At 38.6% G+C, this 26,233-nt stretch overlaps 1 protein-coding gene and 2 pseudogenes across 1 annotated transcript in view; all 3 read left to right on the top strand.

Annotated features, from left to right (window-relative positions):
* CATSPERB (catsper channel auxiliary subunit beta) overlaps positions 1-26,233 on the top strand; it is a 151,389-nt gene that overhangs the window by 109,167 nt on the left and 15,989 nt on the right. The window contains exons 19-22 of the mRNA NM_024764.4: positions 983-1,312; positions 5,184-5,323; positions 12,243-12,440; positions 14,516-14,626. Of these exons, the coding sequence (NP_079040.2) occupies positions 983-1,312; positions 5,184-5,323; positions 12,243-12,440; positions 14,516-14,626 (779 nt within the window). The remainder of the gene's footprint in view (positions 1-982; positions 1,313-5,183; positions 5,324-12,242; positions 12,441-14,515; positions 14,627-26,233) is intronic.
* NANOGP7 (Nanog homeobox pseudogene 7) lies at positions 17,398-18,738 on the top strand (annotated as a pseudogene).
* Positions 19,357-20,352, top strand: POLR3GP1 (RNA polymerase III subunit G pseudogene 1; annotated as a pseudogene).

The raw sequence follows: 26,233 nt of genomic DNA, 5'->3' as shown, positions 1-26,233 counted from the left end.
TCCATATCAAAAAAAAAAAAAAAAAAGTCATTGAGAACTTTGACAAAAAGCTGTTGGCTGGAGTCATGTAGACAAAAGTCTGATTGGAATGGGTTCGAAAAATTATGAGAGGAGAGTGGAGACAGTGAATAAAGGTAACTCTTTCAGGAAGTTTTACTATAAAGGGAAAGAGAAATTACATGGTGGTTGGAGGGAATATTGGAAAGGATTTTCGTTGGTCGGTTTGAACTGGGAGAAATTGGAGCATGTGTGCATAATTAAGGCAATGATGAAGCCCTCTTCTGACTGTTTCTATTTTATTTTAGAGTAAGAGAGTATTGATGACATGTTTCATGACCTATCAAAAATATTTTGATAATGATTACTTCCCTCTCATTTCAACAGCCTTCCTTGGCTTCATTGATGTCTTCTCTGATTTTCTCCAATCATTTCTTCTTCGTCTCCGTGAGAGGATCTTTTTCCCTTTCCATTCCTTAAATGATGATGTTCCTTAAGGTCCTGCCCAAGAACCTCTTTTCTTCTAAATCTTCATATTCTCCTTAAATACTCAATCACTCATCCATTCAACAAATATTTATTGAGTATCTTCTGTGTAATAAGCACATCTTTAGGTACTGGGGAAACTGGCTACATTATCCTTCTCTTGTAGAATCACAATAAAGATTTTAGGTTTTTAAGGCTTTTAGTATTTCCATAGTAAAAAAAAAAATCAGCTTTCTTTACTTAGCTCTACATGGTTTTTTACTGCCAAAAATTTTATACAATAGTTTCACAGTAAACATTAAAGCATAGGTGCATGGTCTATTTATGATAAACTTTCTATAAAATAATTTGAATTATGACTGAAATTTGGCAACTGTGTTCTCTGGTTAAGAGATAGTTTAAAAACTCAAACAGTGTATTTGTTAGCTATGTACATCAGTTTGTTTGGCAAACATCGGATGTTTGATTTAATACCAAGTCTCTTCTGTTTAATCTCCAGTTGTTCAGGCCTTGTTTGAAGATACAGATATAGAGAAGACTGTAGTGCTTCCCGGGTACAGCAGCTTCCTCATCACAAGCATTTTAGATAATAAGAATGCATTAGCCATTGCTACCATGCCTGAAAGTGCACCCAACAATATGACCTTTCTAAAGAGCACATGGTTCTTATACAACTTTGGGCAAAGGAATGGACGAACATGGAAAATATATTCAAAACCATGTAATTATTGGTTTCAACATGATGATTCACCATCCCTCAACATCGTGAAATACATTGATCTGGGAAACTCTTATGTTTTAAAAGCTAAGGTCATACGGAATGCAAAAGGTAAGTTTGTTTTGATCGGAAAATATAAAAAGGAAATGTTATTTCTTTTCTTGAATGTGAAATATACTCTTTGATACTGACTGACTTTATCCTTGGTTCCCATACTTGTTGGCATTCTACTACTAACAGTATTAGTGCCTAATTATTGAGTACTTACTATGTACTGGGCTCTATATTAAACTATTATTTTATTTATTTATTTATTTGTGAGACAGACTCCCCCTCCATCGCCCAGGCTGGAGTACAGTGGCACAGTCTTGGATCACTGCAGCCTCCACCTCCTGGGTTCAAGCGATTCTCCTGCCTCAGCCTCCCAAGTAGCTGGGATTACAAGTGTACACCACTCCCGGCTAGTTTTTTGTATTTTTAGTAGAGACAGGGTTTTGCCATGTTGGCCAGGCTGCTCTCAAACTCCTGACCTCAAGTGATTCACCTGCCTCAGCCTCCCAAAATGCTGGGATTACAGGCGTGAGCCACCTCGCTCAGCCATATTTCTATACATTATTTTATTTAATGTTTATAACAACCCTAAAAATATAGATTATAATCCTCATTTTACAAATGAGGAAAATGAGATTGCTACCAGCCCAAGTTGACACAGAATTTTAGTGTAGATTTCTGTTGCCCTCTGAAAGGAAAACTTTTTAATTACTTTGGTATTGTTATATTTATTTCAGCTACAGTTGACCCTTGAACAACACCAGTTTGAACTCTGCAGATCCTCTTATGTGCAGATATTGTTCAGCCAAACACGGACAGAAAACACAGTTTTTGCGGGATGTGAAACCCACATATACACAGGCACTGACTTTTCCTATGTGTGAGTTCCACAGGCCCAATTTAGGGACTTGAGTATATGTGGATTTTGGTATATACAGGGCTCCTTGAACCAACCCTTTGTATATACCACAGAATGACTGTATTTATTTTAAGCCAAAAAAAAGACCTTGAAGTAGAATTCTATACTTTCCCCCATTTTTCCAGCTATTTATTTATTACAAAAGTAATACAAAAATTGTTAAAGATGCTAGCGAAATAGCACAATGGAAAAAATAAAACAAAAAATTTTAGTAAATAACTGAGATAGGAAGAGAGGAAGGAAAGATGGAAGGGAGGGAGTAGGGGAGAAAGGGCAAGGAAAAGAAGAAAATTGTGCCACCAGAAATGAAAAGGGAACTTCAAACCAAAGAAATTAGCTAATGTATGACTCCCTGGAGGATGTGAGGCCCAGATACTGATCATAAGGCAGTGAGACAACTTTTAATGACCAATTGTTGACAGAAAGTTTGACTTTGGGCCTTACTACTTTGTGGAAGGAAGTTGGAATGGAGACCATTAAAGAAAGCTGGGACCATCAAATCATGAAGAGAGAATTAGGAAAACTCTGTCCACCAGAGTTTTCCTAAAGCAGCAGCATGGGCTTAGAATGGGGAGAAGGAATTTCCCGTAAAAAATCAAAACTTCAAGACTGTATCACATTCAGAGACTGAATTCTGCATTCACATGCAGAATTCCACGCTGAGAAATAATAACACCTGGGCCCCAACACAAGGAAGCACAAAACTCTGTAGGGGTCAAGCATGGTGTCTCATGCCTCTAATCCCAGCACTTTGGGAGGCCGAGGCAAGAGGATAGCTTGAGCCCAGGAGTCTGAGACCAGCCTGGGCAATATAGCAAGAGCCTGTCTCTATTAAAACACACACACACACACACACACACACACACACACACACACACACACACACAATTTTATTACATTAAAAATATATTTTAAATTTACTCTCTGTAGGAATACTTTTATGACCCAGGTAATATGGACTTCCAGGGAAAAATCAGTCTCCATTGATCACAAATTGAGGAAAAGAACTTTAAAACTATGTAAGGAAATGACCCACCATAACAGAGAGTCAACAGGCATAGGAAAATTTTAGACTCCAGGAACTTGAGATAACAGAAAAATTAGAAAGACACTATCAAATGAGTATGCATAAAACTCTCAGAGTAAAAGAAGATATAGGAACCATAATGAAAGGACAAAATGCTATTTTTTTTTTAAAAAAAAGGCTTATTTGAAAAAACAGAACCAAGTAGTTTATATAAGTGAAAATTAGAAGTTTTGAAAAAAATTGAGAACATCTATTTCCCTCAATATCGTGGATTAAATGTCCTGAAAACCTTCCTTCTATCTGAAACCCTTGGAAATCCTTTCTTGTTGATTGTATGACTAATTGTCCCTATTTCCTTCAAGTAATTTTAGAAGTTTTAATTTTATGGTTTTAACTTTCTATTTAATTTTTAGGTTACCTCTATTTTATTTTGGTATATTATGTATGGTTAGCTAGTTGTTCCAATATTATTTATTCACTAATGCATCCTTTCTCTGCTGATTTCAAAATATAACTTTATCTTAGTATACAATTTACCTGTTATTCTGACCATTTCTGAATTTTTAGGATCTGTTCCATTGTAATCTCTCTATATTCTGTCACCAACACCGCAATGTTCTAATTATTTTCCCTTTAAAATATACTGAATTGCTTATTAAAGGGCTCAATCAGTTATATGTGTTCAGTTTGATGGAAGTAAATAATAATCAACAAATCAACTAAGTTGCCTGTTTCTGCAGAAAAATCTAGTCAAATCTACTGAAGGTGTGGTCCCTGAACCTGTGTTAGCATCACCAGGGCACTTGTTAGAAATGCAGAATCTCAGGCCTCACTCCAGACCTGCTCAATCTGTATTTCAACAAAATCTCCGGGTAAAGGCTAGGAAGCACTGGCCAGGTCACTTTGGTTTAAGGGAAACAGCTGCAGGTGTTTATAAACTCTGGTTTATTGATTGGTAAAGATGCCAGTTAGACTACATAGTATTTCAAATCTGTTTTTCCACTGAAGTGCTCAGTATGGCAAAGTTGCAAACAGGTGGCCTGCAGGCAGAAATTGGTCTGGTGAAATATTTTGTTTGAAATGCATAAGAGTTTTCTCTTGGCAACAATTAACTGGCAGCCCTTTCAACTGGGCATGTACCCTTCAGTTTTTCTACTCAGTCAACCAACTCAGTGTAGCCAGTATTATTGGAGACCTTGATTAGCATTTGAGAAGCAGGCTGAGGAATGAGGGAAACATTTCTCTGAGAAAATATTTGTAAAGTTACATTTTTCTGAGAACTGTCAGAGGCGTTTGAACCACAGCAACTTCATCTTGAATAGGAGCTGGGTAAAATGAGGCTGAGACCTACTGGGTTGCATTCCCAGATGGTTAAGGCATTCTAAGCCACAGGATGAGATACGAGGTTAGCACAAGATACAGGTCATAGAGACCTTGCTGATAAAACTGGTTGCAGTAAAGAAGCTGGGCAAAACCCACCAAAACCAAGATAGCAATCAGAGTGACCTCTGGTTGTCCTCAGTGCTACACTCCCACCAGCACCATGACAGTTTACAAATGCCATGGCAACATCAGGAAGTTACCCTATATAGTCTAAAAAGGGGAGGCATGAATAATCCACCCCTTATTTAGCATATTATCATGAAATAACCATAAAAATGGGCAACCACCAGCTCTATGGAGTAGCCATTCTTTTATTCCTCTACTTTCTTAATAAACTTGCTTTCACTTTACTCTATGGACTCACCCTGAATTCTTTCTTGTGTGAGATTCAAGAACCCTCTCTTGGGGTCTGGATCAGGACCCATTTCCTGTAACAGAACTATTAAAGTTGACTCTATATAAATTGCTAACTGTATGTGCAGTCATTGTGCAACCTTCAGAATAGATTCAGTTGATGTTCTAAAATCTGATTAGCCAATCATTATTCAATTGAGTTTACAGTTTTCATTATCTAATATTAACTGTTAACCTTGTTTCCATAGGTTTTCGAATGCTTGAAATACCACTACTGACTGTGTTTGTTGGAAACCCTAATTTGTTGGAAGTTACAGCTGAAGTGACTTTTGATGATACTGACAGTTATGTAATAACAATTTCTGCAGCTAGCAAAGTTTTACATCAGGTAGGATTTTCTTCATTTACAAAACATTTCTTACTGATGAAAAAATTTTCTGAAACAACTATTATTAATATTTAATGAGCATCATTTTAAACATCTCTGTTTATAAATACACACATAAGAGTATAGGGTTACAAGGATAAATACATTGAAGAAAGTGTTGTAATAATTTTATAAAAATAGATCTATGTCCTACATAATATTTTTAGTAATTACTTATATATTTATCAAACTTAAAAGAAAAATTGAGATGCAACTAAAGGTAACTGCACATTTCAGAATCATATTTTTTTACCACAAAAATATTAAGTTGAGCTGTATGAAATTACCCTTTTGCAGACCAAAACACAGTGAAATCTTGGCAATTTAATAGGTTCAATTTATAATTTTTGCAAATATCACATTAAAAATTAAAGAAAAAGGTAACAAGAAACAGTAGCAATTGAGGCCATTTCTTTTTTTGTTGTTGTTTAACTTGGACTCCTTTTTATCGCTTTATATGTGTATACGGTTAATTACATTTCTTCCTTCAACTGCTTAAACATAGGGAATATGGGCTGGGTGTGGTGGCTCACGCCTGTAATCCCAGTACGTTTGGGAGGCCAAGGCGGGTGGATCACCTGAGGTCGGCAGTTCAAGACCAGCCTGACAAACATGGAGAAACCCCGTCTCTACTAAAAATACAAAAATATTAGCCAGGCATGGTGGCCCTTGCCTGTAATCCCAGCTACTCGAGAGGCTGAGGCAGGAGAATCACTTGAACCTGGGAGGCAGAGGTTGCAGTGAACCGAGATCGTGCCATTGCACTCCAGCCTGGGCAACAAGAGTGAAACTCTGTCTCAAAAAAAAAAAAAAAAAAAAAAAAAGGGGAATACTTTAAATAATAAGAAATTCATTAGTTGAAATAAAGGCTTATTATTTATACCATGTTCTTAATATGTACTTAGTATGATAGACTTATTGAAATTGTGATAGAATAAAGATGAGCTACTAAATGAAAACTAAATGGTGAAAAATAAAATACATGTAGCTTACTAAACTCCTAGCATCTAAGAGGAAGAAATATCTCAATTCTTCAGGAAAAACAAACATTTTTCAAATTATAAATTTACAAGTCATTTTTTTTTAGCAGTGGACAATTACCAGGGCATGAACCCTTCGTTAGCATTACTTTATTCAGTAAATGAGAACCACAAAAAATCACTGGAAAGGACTAGAGACAGATACGGAATAAATGTGCTCTTCAGCATTTTTCTTTTTTTTTATTGTAAATCAACAGTTTATAATTGTATAAATTTATGAGGTACAAAGTGATGAAAGATGAAAGATAAGTTTTGGTGAGAATGTGGAGAAAAGGGAACACTTGTACACGGTTGCTGAGAATGTAAATTAGTAGAGTCATTATGGAAAACGGTATACAGCCAGGTGCAGTGGCTCACGCCTGCAATCCCAGCACTTTGGGAGGCCAAGGTGGGCGGATCACCTGAGGTTGGGAGATCAAGACCATCCTGGCTAACACAGTGAAACCCCATCTCTACTAAAAATACAAAAGATTAGCCAGGCATGGTGGCATGCGCCTGTAATCCCAGCTACTCGGGAGGCTGAGGCAGGAGAATCGCTTGACCACGGGAGGCGGAAGTTGCAGTGAGCCGAGATCACACCACTGCACTCCAGCCTGGGCAACAGAGAGAGAGATTCCATCTCAAAAAAAAAAGGAAAACTGTATGTATGATCCTCAAAAAACTAAAAGTAGAATTATTGTATGATCTAGCAATTTCAAATCGAGGTATTTACCCAAAATATTTCAAATCCATTTGTCAAAAAGATGTCTGTGTACCAGTGTTTACTGAAGCACTATTCAGGACAGCCAAGTTACCGGGTCAACCTAAAAGTTCATTAAGAGATGAATGGATAAAGAAATATGGTGCAGGAATATATACACAATGTAATACTACTCAGCCTTTTAAAAGAAGGAAAGTCTGTGATTTGCAACAAAATGATGGAATTGGAACATTATGCTAAGTGAAATAAGCCAGGCACACAGAAAGATAAATACCACACATCCTCGGTTGTATGTGAAATCTAAAAAATTGAACTCATAGAAGCAGAGAACAAAATGGTGGTTACAGAGCTGGAGGTAAGAAGGATGGTCAAGGGGTACAACAGTGGTCTCCAACCTTTTTGGCACCAGGAACCAGTTTCATGGAGGACAGTTTTTCCATGGAATGGGATGCGGGGGCATGGTTTCAGGATGAAACTGTTCCACTTCAGATCATCAGGCATTAGATTCTCATAAGGAATGTGCAACCTGGATCCCTCGCATGTGCAGTTCACAATAGGGGTCGAGTTCCTATGAGAATCTAATGCTGCCGCCGATGTGACAGGAGGTGGAGCTCAGGCAGTAATACATGCTTCTCTGCCACTCACCTCCTGCTGTCCTGCTGTAAGGCCAGGTTCCTAACAGTCCACAGACTGGTACTGGTCCTCAGCCCGGGGGTTGGGGACCCCTGGGGTACAAGATCTCAGACAGGAAGAATATGGGTTTTTGTTAGTTCTATTGCACAGTATGGTGAATATAGTTAATAATATAGTATTGTACGTTTCAGAATTGCTAAGAGAGTAAATTCTAAATGTTCTCACCACAAAATGATTAAGTATTCAAGGTGATGGCTATGTTAACTAGATTGATTTAATTATTCCACATTATATTCATAATTATAGCAAATTTATAATGTAAGTTATGAAACAGAAGGAAAAAAATATGCTTAATTCTATCTATCTTTTGTTTTGTTTTGGTTATTTTTGAGACAGGGTCTCTCTCTGATGCCCAGGCTGAAGTGCAGTGGTGTGATCACAGCTCACTGCAGCCTTGACCTCCTGTGCTCAAGCAGTCCTCCCACCTCAGTCTCCCTAGTAGCTGGGACTACAGGCCCACCACGCCTGGCTAATTTTTGTGTTTTTAGTAAAGATGGAGTTTTACCATGTTGCCCAGGCTGGTCTCAAGGTACTGGGCTCCTGGGCTCGAGCAGTCCTCCCACCTCAGTCTCCCTGGTAGCTGGGACTAAAGGCCCACCATTCCTGGCTAATTTTTGTGTTTTTAGTAGAGATGGGGTTTTACCATGTTGCCCAGGCTGGTCTCAAAGCCCTGGGCTCAAGCGATCCACCCACCTAGGCCTCCCAAAGTGCTAAGATTACAAGCCTGAGTCACTGCACCTAGCCATATCTTTTAAGGATGACTAAGCACTTTTAACATTTTGGGTATTTAAAAAGGCAGTGTAGAGGTTCAGAACAGAGGATAAAAGTGTGAGCCCTAGAGAAGACTACCTGGATTGGCTCTCACTTCTGGTATTGTGTGACCTTGGGAAAGTTACTTTATTGTGGCTAAGATCCCTCATCTGTAAAATGGAGGTGACAATATACCTACTTCACATGGTTGTTTTGAGAATTAAATGTGATAGTGTTACCAGGAGGGGTGCGGGGTCCTCAGTTCATGTCTTCTTGGAGGAAAAAATTCAGCCAAGAGACGTGCGGCAAGGGAGTTTATTTAAAGCAACAATACACTCAGAGCTGGCTGCTCAAGAGAATGATGCAGCTCCAACTAGCGTTAGTGAAACCTTCTTCATGAGAATCTTACATGATTATTCATGAAGGACCATGAGGGGGTGTTACTTGCAAGCATGTTTCAAGTGGTCCCTTGGGTGCATGCGCTGTGGTTGCACATGCTAGGACACACATCACATTTCTCATTAGCATTTAAATTCTCCACCCAGGGTGTGCTTTTTAGTATTATAATGAGCAAAAGGCTACTCTAGGGCGAGATTTTGGAGGAGTGCGGTGCTTGTCATCAGATAGAGTCCCTACCACAGTTATCTCCAACTAGGGCCTAATAAGCCTGATAAGCCCAGTCCATGAGGCCAGAAGTTGCCATTGTAGCCATTGTTTTTTTTCTTTGCTGTCAGTTGGCAGTGCTGACAATCAGTGGGCAGTGCCTGCAATCAGTGGGCAGCATCTCCAAGGATTCCTTTCCCAGAGGCTCTTCTTCCTGCTCACTTCTGCCTACTCTAACAATACTACAAATAGCATATCTAAAACATTGCCTGGCACCCAGAAAATGCTCAATAACTATTAACTTACAATATTTTCTTTTTTTTCCCTGAAATTAGGACACATGGTATATACACTTTTAGACGTGCTCATTCCATTTAACTGTATGTTCTAATCCTTTCAAGTCAATATTTTTCTTACATATTCTAAAATTTTTTTATCATGAAAACTTTAAGATATAGACAAAAGTAGAACTTCCATACATCCATTACCTAAATTAAACAATAGTCAAGATTGTGCTACTTTTGTTTTATCATCCCTATTTAATTTGTTTTGTTTGTATTCTGAGGTATTTTAAAACAAACATCAGGCATGTGATTTCATGCCCACATACTTCAATATACATCTCTAAAAAAAGTATGTTATCTCCCACATAATGACAACAGCCATTATCATCCCTAAAATTTTTTAAAATACTTTTTAATATTGTATAAAATGTAGTTCATAATCAAATTTCCCTAATTTTCTAAAAAAAAATTATAGTCAGTTTGTTTGAACTGAGATAAAACAAGATTCACACAGTATATGGTTGTTTATCTTTTAAGTCTTTTATTTGAAGGCAGCTACTACTCCATTTTCTTCCCCTGCCATTGAATTGTAGAAATTGGGTCAGTTGTACTATAGAATTTCCAACATTCCAGATTTTTCTGTTTGCTTCCTTGTATCTTAACTTTTGCCATTAGACCTCTGTATTTCCTTTAATAGTGGAACTCTGCTTAAATTCAGTGTCAATGTGTTTGACAAAAGTAATAAAAATACGTTATTCTTAATGGCTACAGAGTATGGGGACAGGACAAAATGACCACTACCAGAACCTACTATATCACTACGTTTATTAGTATTTCTACATTTTTAAAGTTCCAAAAATACTTCAGAATTGTAAATAGAATTTATTGAATTGCACTGCTGTTTAATATTGTTCAAAGATCAAGTACATTTACTGTGCGTATATTTTTAAAATCTAGCAAAAATCTAGATAAAAATCTATCTTTATGAAATACAGTGATTACTAAGTGAATTTTATTTTCAAAATGTACACCAATCAGGCTAAGTATGGTGGCTCATACCTCTGTTCCCAACACTTTGGGAGGCCAAAGCAGATGGATCACTTGAGGCCAGGAGTTCGAGACCAGCCTAGGCAACACAGCGAGACCCCGTCTCTATAAAAATTTAAAAAAATTTTTTTAGTTATTTGCACAGCATGGTGAATATAGTTAATAATAGAGTATTGTACATTTCAAAATTGCTAAGAGTAAATTTCAGATTTCAAAAGCTAGGTGTGGTGGCACACATCTATAGTCCTAGCTACTCAGGAAGCTGAGGTGAGAGGATCGCTTGAGCCCAGGAGTTCAAGCCTGAAGTAAGCTATAATAGTGCCACTGTACTCCAGCCTGGGTGACAGAGCGCGATCTCATCTCTTAAAAAAAGGAAGAAAGAAAGAAAGAAAGAAAGAAAGAAAGAAAGAAAGAAAGAAAGAAAGAAAACAGTAAACAATCAAAGTTATTTTATTTATATCATCAAACCAAATATTCAGGTGCTCATCAGTGAATGGGGAAGCCTCAACGATATGAGTTGGATGTAACAGTGGTATTTATTTAATAAGTCTTTAAAAAATATTTTAAAATAAATTTTGTTGTGTATATTTAAGGAATACAATGTGTTGTTGTAAGACACATATATGTAGTAAAATGATTACCATTGTGGAATAAATACCTCACATAGGCATCCACTTTCCCCTAATGTGGTAAAAGCAGCTATAATCTGCTAATTCAGCAAAAATACTCAAGTACTGATTATAATACAGTATTATTAACTATAGTCCTCATGTTTCTTTTTTTGTTTTTGGTTTTGTTTTTGGTTTTGGTTTTTTTGTTTGTTTGTTTGTTTTTGAGACGGCTAGCTCTGTCACCCAGTCTGGAGTGCAGTGGTGTTATCTTGGCTCACTGCAACCTTCACCTCCCGGGCTCAAGCAATTCTCCTGCCTCAGCCTCCCAAGCAGCTGGGACTACAGGCATATGCCACCACGTCTGGCTGATTTTTGTACTTTTAGTAGAGGTGGGGTTTCACCATGTTGGCCAGGCTGGTCTTGAACTCCTGACCTCAGGTGATCCACCCACCTCAGCCTCCCAAAGTGCTGGGATTACAGGCGTGAGCCACCGTGCCCAGCCAGTCCTCAGGTTCTTGATCCTAGCTTATTTCCAAATACTTCCCCGAACCAATTAGATTGGAATATATTTCTTCCTGGAAAAGAATATGTTTTCTATTATGATTTATTCTCAAACAGATCTTTATGGTCAAATATTTTTCTACTTCTGTCATGTCTTTTTGTATTTCTTTTCTTTTTCTATATTTTTTAGTTTTCTATATTCTTCACTATATTAGTTTGCTATGGCTGCCACAACAAAATACCACTGACTTGGTGGCTTGGTGACTCAAACAATGGAAATTTATTTTCTTACAGTTCTAGTGGCTACAAGTTCAAGAGCAAGATATCAGCAGGGTTGGTTTCCTCTGCAGCCCCCCTACTTGGCTTGTGTATGGCCATCTTCTTGCTGTGTCCTCATATGGTTGCCCCTCAGTTTCTGTGTTGTCTATATCCTAATCTCCTCTTCTTATAAGATGACACCAGTGACACTGGATTGGGGCCCACCCAAATGACCTCATTTTACCTTAATTACCTCCTTAAAGGCCCTATCTCCAAATACAGCCACATTTTGAGATACTGGAGGTTGGGGTTTCAACATGTGATTTTTGGTTGGACACAGTTCAGTCCATAACAGTTACTTTAAATAACCTTCATTTATTTGGTTATTTCCAGGGTTCAACTTCACTGGCATTTATTATGTGGTCAGCCTCTACTGAGTGCTTTGTTACGACAATGGTGCCAACACTGAAAAGCAGCTGTAGTTATCTCAGATCTATGCATCACATTCCTAGCAAATTTATCCCATTTGAAGACTGGATTAGTGGAGTTCATAAAGACAGTCAGGGTTTTAACCTCATCAAAACTTTGCCGGTAAAAAAAAAAATCTAAGTATATTGGTTTAAGAAGCAATGCTATGTGACTTTTGTGTGATTGCCTACCCATTCAGTTTCAGCATTTCTTTTGTGAGTGGCTCAAAACACTTCACAGTTATTTTTTAATCCTCATGTCATTTTGAGGATGTGATGATTTCTAAGCTGTAAAAGCTTTCTGAAATAATTATTTTTCCTGGTAACTTAGTGTCATTATTATTATCATTTTACACTTTATATGTTGGTGTGATCTTTGTCTTTTGTGATATATTCAACTATTTTCCCTTACATTGACTTGTCCTAAGCTGATACAATTAGCCTTTGAACAATAGGTTTGAACTGCATAGGTCCACTTACATGCGGATTTTTTTCAAGAAATATATTGGACTTCTTTTGGAATTTTGTGACAATTGAAAAAATTCACAGACAAACCTCATAGCTTAGAAATGCAGAAAAAATCAGCCAGGCGTGGTGGCTCACGCCTGTAATCCCAGCACTTTGGGAGGTCAAGGCGGGCAGATCACTTGAGGTCAGGGTATCGAGACCAACCTGACCAACATGGAGAAACCCCATCTCTACAAAAAATACAAAAATTAGCCCGGCACGGTGGCACGCGCCTGTAATCCCAGCTACTCGGGAGGCTGAGCCTGGGAGGCAGGGGTTGCAGTGAGCGGAGATGGTGCCACTGCACTCCAGCCTGAGCAACAGAGCACAGAGCATGACTCTGTCTCAAAAATAAATACATAAATTTTAAAAAGAAATATCTAAAAAATTAATAAAAAGTTGGATATGTCATGAATGCATAAAATATATATAGATACTAGTCTATTTTATCATTTGCTATCATAAACTATACACAAATCCATTATAAAAAGTTAAAATTTATCAAAACTTACACACACAAACACAGATAGTACATCAAGCCAGAGAAATGTAAGCAAATGTAAAGATACAGTATTAAATCATAACTGCATAAAATCAGCTGTAGTACACACTGTACTACTGTAATAATTTTGTAGCCGCCTTCTGGTGCTACTTGGGTGAACTCTAATGTTGCCAGTATTCCTTTAAAATGCCCTGAGAGGCTATTCATCTGCATGTGAGCAGTTCACCTAGCCAGTAAATTGCAATTCACAATAAAAAGTGACCTCTCGTGGCTCTAATGTACTTTTCATCGTGTAATACTGTAAACCTTAAATAACACCATGGGTTCCATATGAAGTGGTGCTGGAAGTACTCCCAAGAGGCAGAGAAAAGTCATGACATTACAAAAAAAAAAAGGTGAATTTCTTGAAGCACACTGTAGATTGAGGTTCTTCAGCTGCAGTTTCCCTGGATTTCAGACAGACAATTCACCTTGTAAACAGATGATGTAAAGTTACAGTATCCATAAATACAGAATACTACTATAAATCCATTTTCATTTTTTCTCTAGCTCACTTTATTGTAAGAATACAGCATATAATACATATTACATACAAAATATATATTAATCGACTTTATATTACCAGTAAGACTTCTGGTCAACAGTAGGCTATTAATGGTTAAGTTTTGGGGTGGTCAAAAGTTATATGTGAATTTTTGACTGTGCAGGAGGTCTGCACCCCTAACCCCTGTGTTGTTCAAGGGTCAACTATATATCTACCCATTTCAATGTAATAATTTTAACTTTTGCCTTGTCAGAATTTGTGACTCTTTTTAAATATAAAATGTTGCTCTTTATCAACTAATTTATTACTTATAATTTTCTTTGTGACAAAAAGCAAATAACCAAACTTGAAGAATTATTTACTAACTATGATACATCACTAAGACTCTTTGATAAAGTGTTTAAACTTTAATTGCATTGACTTTATGGCAGTTTTTTCACTTATTTACAAGTTATATTATCATTGGTTAAAATTGTTGAAATTCCAGAAAATGAGGGGTAGAAAAGTTGGGGGAGATAAATTTACTTTAATACCTGTAGCTAAAAATTGAATTTTTGCCTTGATTGGTTTTCTAGAAAGTCAAGATCTATAAATTAAAGACTTCATAATAATGAATTGTACATTTTCTTTGTTTAATCACTTGCAGATAAACTACAGGCCTCCATCTAATATGGGAATTGCTATTCCACTCACAGATAATTTTTATCATGCAGATCCTAGCAAACCCATACCAAGAAACATGTTTCACATGTCAAAGGTAAATAACTTTTTTACAAATAATCTAGCACTTATTTGAATTCAGGAAATCATTCAGTAAAATTATATATATAGCTATAAGTGTTAAATGAGAAGGTGAAGCTGTTATTATCGTGATTGCTACTCTGTTCCTCCTCCTTCTACTTTAGCCCCTCCTCTTACAGCTATTCCTGAATACAGTTTTGGAGCCAAGAAGTCCAAATGGACGCTTTCCCCCTTGACTCTCCCTGCTTCCCATTTGGATTTCATTGATGGGGTGAGAGCATCTTTTCTCGAATGAAAGGAGCCCCCAGCTCTTCAGCTCTGTGAACGGAATGATGTCCAAGAGGGAAGAAAACTGCCTGCTCCAATGCAGGCACATTTAAACTCCTGCTAAGATTCTGCCTAGAAAATAACCAACTCCCAGCAGCACCCTGCCTCTCTAAAGGTGGAGGGAGGGAGGGAGGGAGACAAGGGAGGAGCCATTAGGTTCAGAGGAAAAGTGCAGCGTGGGGCAGCTTCTCAAGGAGACCACATGGACGCCTGTGGAATCTCTCCAGAAAAATGCACCCACCTGCCCATACACATGCACAGACAGTCATATTCATTCATACACATGTGCACGTACACGAATACATAAAATTGGTGTTTCTTTAGCTCAAAACTCTCCACTGTCTTCCGATCTCATTCAGAGTGAAAACCAAATTCTTGCAATGGTTTATAAAGTCCTCCTTGGACTTTGGCCTTGACATTACGTCTGACCTGATTTTCCCAGCTTGATCTGCTCTAGCCATGCTGGCCTCTTTGCTGTTTCTCCAATATGCTGGGCATATTTCCACCCCGTGGCCTTCACAGTTGCAGAAAATCCCTCTGTGTGGAATGCTTTTCTGCCTGATACCACATGGCTGACTCTTCAGGTGCTTTTCCTCAAGTCACCATCACAGTAAGCCCTTCTCTGACCACTCTATTTAGAATCATAACCCCCATCTCCACTGTCTCCCCTCCTTCCCTGCCTTATTTTTCTCCATATCGCTTACTACGGTTTTACCTATTTTACTCACTTATTTTATTTCTTGTCTTTCTGACCCCATGAGAAGGTAAGCTCATAAGGTAGAGGTTTTTATCTATTTCTTCTCTACTATATCCCCAGTGCCCAGAACAGTGACAGACTTAGAGAATGCTTTAAAATTGTGAAACATATTAATACACATTCACCGCCCCCCCCCCCCCCGCCCACACACACACAATTAGGAAGTGAACAGACTTCTTGTGAAATCTTGGGTTTCAGGTTAAGAAGCTCTGCTCCAGGCAATGATTAGCTATGATACTGAGTTCTTCTCCACGTCCAGTTTCTCCCAAAGACAAAGAACCACCTCCTCTACTGAAATATGACTTTACTATGTTTACATGGAAATCCTTGATTTCCCAGGTTTTTCACCAGGATTTTCTTGTGAGTTAAATAGGGAATGTATGTACACCTAATGATTACTACCCCATCTTTTATGCATCCAACAAGTGTTAATTTCACCATTTCCAGTGTTATCAGGCACTATCCAGACATTTTCTGAAGATACAGCAATGCACAAGATAAGCATGGTAGCTTCATGGACTCTAATAGGTGAGAATTTGTATATCTTAAGCAAAAAGACATACAAATTAAATAGCGTCATCGAGTGCAGGGCTTCTGAACAGTACGGCCCTGCATATCCTGAACCAGAATTATTCGAAAATATTTTTTGTTTTGTTTAGTTTTGAGACGGAGTATCGCTCTGTCACGCAGGCTGGAGTGCAGTGGCGTGATCTCAGCTCACTGCAACCTCCGCCTCAGGGGTTCAAGCGATTCTCCTGCCTCAGGCCCCTGAGTAGCTGGGATTACAGGCGTGCACCACCACGCACAGCCAATGTTTGCATTTTTAGTAGAGACGGGGTTTTGCCATGTTGACCAGGCTGGTCTCAAACTCCTGACCTCATGTGATCCATTCACCTCGGCTTCTCAAAGTGCTGAGTTTATAGGCATGAGCCACTGCACCCACCCCAAAAATATTTCTACGATGCATCTTTCTGAATCTCATAGCTACTGCATCAGAAACTATGAGGTACCATCCTGAAATCTGCATTTTATTTGTTTGTTTGTTTGTTTGAGACGGAGTCTTGCTCTGTCGCCCAGGCTGGAGTACAGTGGCGCGATCTTGGCTCACTGCAACCTCCACATCCTGGGTTCAAGCGATTCTCCTGCCTCAGCCTCCCAAGCAGCTGGGATTACAGGCACCCACCACCACACCCAGCTAATTTTTGTATTTTTAGTAGAGACGGGGTTTCACCATGTTGGCCAGGCTGGTCTCGAACTCCTGACCTCAAGGGATCCGCCCGCCTCGGCCTCTCAAAGTGCTGGGATTACAGGCGTGAGCCACAGCGCCCAGCTGAAATCTGCATTTTAAAGAGTTTAAGATAGGCCAGTAGTAGATCAGACACAAAACAGAGTATGAGTGAGTCAGGAGAGACATCCCAGAGGAAATGCTTCTGAGTCAAGACTGAAAGATGGATAGGGGTTAACCAAACAAAGGAGGAGAGAGTGGTAACAGAGAGGAGGGGAAAGGGAGTCAAACAGCATTCCAGGCTGAGGCAACACCAGATACAAAGAGTGGCGATGGGGAAAGGCTCAGTGTCTCTGACAAACTTAAAGACCATTCAGCCTGGAACATAATGAGCCAGCGAAAGAGTTTGGGGACAGCAGGCCCTAATGCTACAGGATCTCCTCGGCCGTGGAAATGATTTCAAATTTTATCCTAAGAGAAATCAAGAGCCATCTAGGGTTTTAAGCAAGAAAGTAACATGATGGTTACTGTGGCGGCGACTCACTTCATCCCAACCTCTTGATACTTTCGCTTCTGGAGGTCATATTTCTCTAAGATCTTCCAGAAAAAAGTCTTAAAGCCACCTTAACCTTTTTTCCAGTCCAGCTCTTAAATTTTTTCCTCCTCTTCCCCAATAATAACATGAGTGTGGCTCCAGCTTGTTCACAAAGCCTGCCTTGCTCCAACGCATCCGTCTGTAAAGACTCTTCACTTACACCTGTGATTTGTGGGCCTGAAGAAAACTATCCATCCTTGCAAATGTCTTCTGCTGAGATGCCTCACATGGAGACTGTCTCTCCTCTTCCTTCCTCCGTGGATCTGCTTATTTAGGACAGCCCTGATTCTTCCACCCCTCCCAAAGGCAAACAACCCACTTCTGCAGAGAAGAGTGCCAGAAAAAAGGAAGACAAGGTCCCATTCAAGAAACAGAAGACCAGAACTGTGTTCTCTTCCACACAGCTGTTTGTACTCAATGATAGATTTCAGGGACAGAAATACTTCAGCCTCCAGCAGATGCAAGAACTTTCCAACATCCTGAACCTCAGCTACAAACAGGTTAAGACGTGGTTCCAGAACCAGAGAATGAAATCTAAGAGGTGGCAGGAAAACAACTGGCCAAAGAATAGCAATGGTGTGACTCAGAAGGCCTCAGCACCTACCTACCCCAGCCTCTACTCTTCCTACCACTGGGGATGCCTGGTGAACATGACTGGGAACTTTCCAATGTGGAGCAACCAGACCTGGAACAATTCAACCTGGAGCAACCAGACCCAGAACATCCAGTCCTGGAGCAACCACTCCTGGAACACTCAGACCTGGTGCACCCAGTCCTGGAACAATCAGGCCTGGAACAGTCCCTTCTATAACTATGGAGAGGAATCTCTGCAGTCCTCCATGCAGTTCCAGCCAAATTCTCCTGCCAGTGACTTGGAGGCTGCCTTGGAAGCTGCTGGGGAAGGCCATAATGTAATACAGCAGACCACTAGGTATTTTAGTACTCCACAAGCTGTGGATTTATTCCTAAACTACTCCACGAACATGCAACCTGAAGATGTGTGAAGAAGAGTGCAATTGACATTAATCAATTTCAGTCTGGGCACTGGCTGAATCCTTCCTCTCCCCTCCTCCCATCCCTCATAGGATTTTTCTTGTTTGGAAACCACATGTTCTGGTTTCCATTATGCCTATCCAGTCAATGTGATGGAGGGTGGGGTATGGTTGGAGTCTAATCAGAGAGATTTCTTTCTTTTTTCCTGTTGGATCTTCCTGGAGAAAAGACAGGCATGTGCCTGTAGTCCCAGCTACTCAGGAGGCTGAGGCTGGAGAATCACTGGAGTTCAGGAAGTGGAGATTGCAGTGAGCTGAGATTGCACCATTGCAGTCCAGCCTGGGTGACAGAGTGAGACTCCATAAAAGAAAGAAAGAAAGAAGAGAGAGAGAGAGAGACAGACAGAGAGGGAGGGAGGGAGGGAGAGAGAGACAAAAAAAAAAAAAATAGATGAAGTTCTTGAATAGACATTTCTCCAGACAAGGTGATATGGTTTGGATCTGTGTCCCCACCAAATCTCATGTCGAATTGTAATCCCCAGTGTTAGAGGTGAGGCCTCATGTATGATGGGGGCAGTCTCTCACGAATGGTTTAGCACCATCCCACTAGTGCTGTTCTCGTGATAGAGTTCTCATGGGATCTGGTGTTTAAAAGTCTGTAGCAACTCCCCCTTCTCTCTCTACCTCCTGCTCCTCCTCCCTCTCTTCCTGCCTCACTCCCTTTTACCTTCTGCCATGATTGTAAGTTCCTTGAGGCATCCCCAGAAGCTGATGCTGCCATGCTTCCTGTGCAGCCTGTGGAACTGTGAGCCAATTAAACCTCTCTTCTGAGGGCAGTGCGCGCTTCTCAGGCTCTAGAGCGGTGGGGTCCTCTGCCTGCACCCCTTCCTTGCTGGCCGGCATTTCAGCTGCAGAGTTTTGCCCACACTTTAAGACTTAGGGAGCAGAATTTGCCCACTCATCTGGTATAACTAGTTCTGATGGCTGGGAATAAAGGATGAGGACGTGCTGCTTATACCTTTAATATTGAGGCTGTTGGATTTAGCAAAGGTAAAAAGTTACCTGATGTAGTGTTGAAACCACCCCCACTATTTCCTGATACAGATTATAAACCAGTGCCACTGAAGACAGGAGAAGGTGAATAATATATGCTGGCTTTGAAACAGGAGTTGAGAGAAACAATGAAAAGAATGCCCTATTTTATTGAAACACCCTCATGAAGAAAGACAAGATATTGAAAGGTATAGTAAAAGATACATGAAGGTATACAAGGAAGAGTGGATACCAGATTGGAGAAGACTTCCAAGAGAGATGATGCCAAGAAATAAATGTAAAAAAGCAGGCCCAAAACCCAAAAAGGCAAAAGACACAGGCAAAGGCACATCACTCACTAATACTGCAGATGTGTTGAAAAAAATTGAGGAATTGGAAAAGAGAGGTGATGATGAAAAATCAGATGAGAAAAGAAGAGAAAGAAGGAAGCAAAGAGAAAAGTAGAGAAGGTGATGATGATGATGACAATGATGCTGCAGAACAGGAGGGATATGATGAAGAAGAGCAAGAAGAGGGAAATGACTACATTAATTCATACTTTGAAGATGGAGATGATTTTGGTGCAGACAGTGATGACAACATGGATGAAGCAACCTAGTAGGCATGAAATTTTTCAAAAAATGTTTTTATGATGCAGCTTCTGAACATTTGGACAGATTTGTTTTATATTTTATTTCTGATAAGGAATAAGTATTTTTATTTTTGTTTTTTTTTGTACAAATATTTGTTACCAAAATATTCAAAACCACTTTGAGTTTACATTCTAGTTACCTTACAAATTAGTCCCTGACACTCTGACATTCCTTCTAAACCCTTCTGCCATCTCTCTTATGTACTCTCGTGGATTTTTTTGTATTATTTGAATATGAATGTGCCTAAATAATTTTTGCTCCCTTAATCTATGTATACATACATTCTTGCTTAACTGCTGATCTTTTCTAAGACTATTGCTAGTCATAATGGATTTCTAGAATTTGAAAGTTGATATAATACAGCACATGGAGCACTTTAAAAACAAACTTGAAAATAATTTTATTTTTTATTTTTACATGGTATGTTCTAGACTACTGCATTATGACTACATAAACCTACCTGACCTCTTACAAGTACAGAATTGTGAGATAGAGGTTTTGTGATGGAAAACATACACACAGGGAAAAATACCAAGCTAAGCAATATAAATTTCACAGCTCACAGCTTAGCCAGTACAAAGAAACTTTCACATGAGGTGAATATTATAAATACTTGAATTTGGGACTAACCTAATACTGTATGATATATGAATTAATCATCCCACTGTAATAACTTTGACATCTTCAAGTAGTTGGGCTTATGAAAAATTTGACTAAGACATTTAATTTTATACTTTATGTAAGTGTGAAATAAGTTCTGATCATATAAATATCACTGTAGAATGCATGTGTGTGAACTCTATGAAGTGAAGTGTGGTGGCCTTTTATGTATGCAAGCTGTACTATTGATTTATATAAAAATGCAAAATGAACTCAGGTCATTTTGAAATTAAGATTAATTTTTTTGTTGTTTAGAGCTAGCTCCCCTAACTTTATATATTTTTGGGGAAAAAATACCTAAAAACCTCAACCTACAAATACTCTCACAAATGCCAAAGATCTTCAAGGAAATTCATATTATGTATTTCAAAAATGATTTATCAATGTGATCTACCAAAAAAAATTTATTTTTCCCCTTTAGGAAGATATTATTATCCTCTAATGTGAGAATCAGATCCCTAGATTCTATTTCTACCTGTACTATTAAACTCAACCTTGAACCTGAGCTTGGTTGTTTCTGTGCCTTAGTTTCTCCACTCGTAAACAATTTCCTACAAAAATTGTGTAAACACCAACCAAAATTTACCATATATATTCATTCTCTTGCCATAAAGATCACTTCTTAATTTACATTTGGCTCTCACCCTCTAAAAATATGTTGTTTGGAGAGTAACTGAAAACACAATTTTAAGAAACATGTTTTCCTCACAAAATATATTGTAATCTGATTTTCCTATCTTGTATTCCTGTGGAAAATTAGAGAAAAAGTGTATTGTCTTGTGCCATTTTGCAACATAACTTTCTCAGGAAAAAGATCACTTTCAATGGCAATACTTTCTTTAGTAATTCAAGATGGGTGTGAGGACCTATTTTATTAATTTAGTGCTATGTTAAGCATTTGTGAATTACTTCTTGTTTAAAGGAAGTATCAAAAAATTTTAAGATTCTAAATGGAATACATGAATAAAGTAAGCCTTAGAGTAGAAACCTCACATAAAGTTGTCATTTGCAGCTGATAATTAACATAGGTGTTGTATTCTCTCAACTCCTTCGTACCAGAGCCAAATACCATTTAGTTCTCAGAAATCTTATCAATATTGTTCTGTTTACTGACTTATCATAAATCTGCAGATAACCACTTGAAACAGGCAAATACACCGAAGGTAAAAGTTATTTCTTTTTTTAGCTTTGAATTTGTGATGACCATTTTAGTCTTGAAGATAGCAGGGCAGCCCCTTGGGGCAAGGATTTACTCTGGGAGGCACCAGCCATCCCCTTTAAGAGCCTTCTTTCCTCCCTTTGGAAGATCTTTTTACCATGTTAAAGTATACTATTTGTGAGAACATGCAGGATTTGCAGGTTGCTTTACCAGCATGAATCTCATTTTTCTGGCTTAAAATCTGAGACAGTGAAATTATTCCATAGGAAAGTGAATGTTATTTTGCAGAATTAGCCTCTTACATAAAAGTATGTGTTGAAGTGTCTTTAAAATTGCTATCGTGAGCAAAACTGTTTGGTTGCTATAATGCTTACTTTTCTGTATGTTTACACATTAAATTCTTACAGAACAAAAACAAACAAACCCAAACCTCTTTTCTTTATAAATTACCCAGTCTCAGGTATTTCTTTATAGCAGTATGAGAATGGACTAATACAGAAGATATATAAACAGCCAACAAGCCCGTGAAAAGATACTCAACGTCTTAGTCATTAGAGATATACAAATCAAAATCACTTGAGATATCCCTTCACAGTCATTAGAATAGCTATAATAATTGCTTTTTTAATGAAAATAATTGTTGGCGAGAATGTGGAGAATCTGGAACTCTCATGCATTGCTGGCAGGAATGCAAAATGGTGCAGCTGTTATGGATATCAGTTTGGTGCTTCTTCAAAAAGTTAAACATAGAATTACTGTATGAGCCAGCCATTTCACTCCTAGATATATCCAAAAGAATTGAAAACATATGTTCAGACAAAAACTTCATAGCAGCATTATTCATAACAGCCAGAAAGTGGAAACAATCAGATGCGCATTAACTGATGAATGGATAAACAAAATGTGCTATATCCATTCAGTGGTGTCAAAGGAAAATATCTTGGGCCCCCAATATCACTAAGGAAAATTCAAGCTGGGAACTGCTTAGGGCAAACCTGCCTCCTTTTCTATTCAAAGTCACTCCTTTGCTCACTGAGATAGATTCATATCTGATTTGCCTCCTTTGGAAAGGCTAATCAGAAACTCAAAAGAATGTAACCATTTGTGTATCACCTTTCTGTGACCTGGAAGCTCCCTCCCCACTTGAGTCTTGGTGCCTTTGCTTCAAGTTGTCCTCCCCTTCCAGACTGAACCAATGTACTTCTTATATATATTGATTGACGTCTCATGTCTCCCTAAACGTATAAAACCAAGCTTTGCCCTGACCACCTTGGGCAGATGTTGTCAGGACTTCCTGCGGCTGTGTCACGGGTGCATCCTCAACCCTGGCAAAATAAAAATAAACTTTCTTTTTTTTTTTTTTTGCTCTGCCGCCCAGGCTGGAGTGCAGTGGCACAATCTCAGCTCACTGCAAGCTCCGCTTCCCAGGTTCACGCCATTCTCCTGCCTCAGCCTCCCAAGTAGCTGGGACTACAGGCGCCCGCCACCACACCCAGCTAATTTTTTGTATTTTTAGTAGAGACGGGGTTTCACCGCGTTAGCCAGGATGGTCTCAATCTCCTGACTTCGTGATCCGCCCGCCTCGGCCTCCCAAAGTGCTGGGATTACAGCGTGAGCCATCGTGCCCGGCCGGCAAAGTAAACTTTCTAAATTAACTGAGACCTGTCTCAGATTTTCTAGGTTCACATTTTGGTAACCACGAAGGGGTTCTGAATGGAGATGCCCCTGACCTTTGACAAATCTCTTATCAGTGCCTGGTACCAGCATGAGCTAACTTTATGGATCAAACCAATACGACAATTTGCTGAGGTCTGAGAGCACCCCTCCAATGAATCCCTGATATCCCAAAATTTGGTCAGTCTGATACACAGACAATAAGGAGGTTTGTTTTGGGAAAGGACTGTTATCTTTGTTTAAAAGCTAAACTATAAACCAAGTTCCTTCCAAAGTTAGTTCATCCTATGCCCAGGAATGAACAAGGACAGCTTACAGGTTAAGAGCAGTATGGAATCAGTTAGGTCAAATCTTTTTCCTTTTTTTTTTTTTTTTTTTGAGACAGAGTCTTGCTCTGTTGCCCAGGCTGGAGTGCAGTGGTGCGATCTCGGCTCACTGCAAGCTCCACCTCCCAGGTTCACGCCATTCCCCTGCCTCAGCCTCCCAAGTAGCTGGGACTACAAGCGCCTGCCACCACGCCTGGCTAATTTTTTGTATTTTTAGTAGAGATGGGGTTTCACCATGTTAGCCAGGATGGTCTTGATCTCCTGACCTTGTGATCCACCTGCCTTGGCCTCCCAAAGTGCCGGGATTACAGGTGTGAGCCACCACGCCCGGCCAGTCAAATCTTTTCTGACAGTCTCAGTTATAATGCTGCAATGGCAGTTTCATAACTTTAAATCATGACTATCACAGTTTTCATAAATAATCTAGGTAAATAATTAAAACAATTAGGTAAATGTAATGGGATAAATACTTGTAGACAAACTGGTCATAATTTAGGATATAAAGTTATATTAAATTAAATAATAGATATCTCATTGAGTATTTTCCAATAAATATATATTGTAGAAAAACATTCTTGCTAAAGAAAGAAAAATGTGTCCTTTTAAAAAAAAAGTGAACAAGTTTTGTCTAATTCAAAGCTTATTTAAAGGTTATATATAAAACAAGGTAAAAGGAGCCAGGAATAAAAAAAGATGTAAAAAAAGTTATAAAAATAAAGAGGTTTTATTTTTAGGTAAAAAAGCTTAAAAAGAAATAATTTTATATAAGAAAGAATCTTCTGTGGTAAATTTAGTCCTAAAATAAAATAACTGGTTGTTTAAAAAGGAGGGAATTTCAGAACAAATCAGAAAGTCTGGCCATGTCATGAATAGTCAGTGTAAGTCACAATAAGAGGATTTATATATTTAAAAAAAAAAACAAAAACTTTTATATAATCAAGTTGTCATATTATTATTAAATTTTGGTTTGCTTAGGGAAAAAAACTGAGATAAAAAATGTTTTAATGTTATTGCATCCATTTATCTTCCTGTATGTGCTTTTAAAGTGCTTGTAACATTGAGTTACAGGGCTTTAACTCCTGGGTCTAAAAAGGACACCAAGTCCTGCTAAATCTTAAACACTGACAGCAATTAAAGCCTCATCTTCAGGCCCCATAGAAGATGCCAATTAAAACAAACTGCATTCCTGAGACACAGGGCAAGAAATTAAAGCCATTCAACTCCTCAAGGCCCGGGGACTATCGCAGAAGAGGTGGGCACATGAGATTGTGAGGGCCAATTTTGAAAGATAAAATAAGTTCAGTTTCTCTATAAATTAATTATTAATGTCAAAGGCACACTGATGCAAAACCAGTATATGGATCCCTATGTCAGATTAACAAGGTTTTCTTGAAGCATTAAAGAACTTCTTAATAAAGGTTATAAAAGGCTTATGGAAGTTATATTTTATAATCAAGATTAAATTTTATAGATTGTTTACAAAATTTTGAAAAACAAATGTAATTGGCTTCGGGCTGTTTTTCTTAGGGTTTCTTGTTTAGAAAATTAAGTCTCAACTCAAATAATGAAGGTTTTCACTTTTTTTGGAATGCTGGAATTATCACTTTGGTTAAATAAATGACTTTACAATGACCTGTAATCCTATTTTGTAATATCAAGTGTTTTAAAGCTTTTATATTTGACAAACTTTCCAAAATCAAATTATAAATTATATCTTTTTGGCCAGGCGCTGTGGTTCACGCCTGTAATCCCAGCACTTTGGGAGGCTGAGGCAGGCAGATCACGAGGTCAGATCGAGACCATCCTGGCTGACACGGTGAAACACTGTCTCTACTAAAAATACAAAAAAAAAAAAATTAGCTGGGCGTGGTGGTGGGTGCCTGTAGTCCCAGCTACTCAGGAGGCTGAGGCAGGAGAATGGAGTGAACCCAGGAGGTGGAGCTTGCAGTGAGCCGAGATGGCGTCACTGCACTCCAGCCTGGGTGACAGTGCGAGACTCTGTCTCAAAAAAAAAAAAAAATTATGTCTTTTTCTAACCTAATTAGTCCTTTAAGACATTAGGTTCCTTAAGTCCAAAAATGACATAACTTGGCTTATTTTGGTGTAAAAATTATACAGGAAGCATTGTCAAATATGAAATGGTGTTTGGTTTTCTTTGGGCTATATTTGTATACATAGCTAACTTTGTTCCAAATGTATAGGAAACTCCTGTAATTCTGATAT

The sequence above is a fragment of the Homo sapiens genome, chromosome 14 (assembly GCF_000001405.40).
Source record: "Homo sapiens chromosome 14, GRCh38.p14 Primary Assembly".
Taxonomy (NCBI): Eukaryota; Metazoa; Chordata; class Mammalia; order Primates; family Hominidae; genus Homo; species Homo sapiens.
Note: the sequence above shows the minus strand (reverse complement) of the source record. Positions and strands in the feature narration are given on the sequence as shown.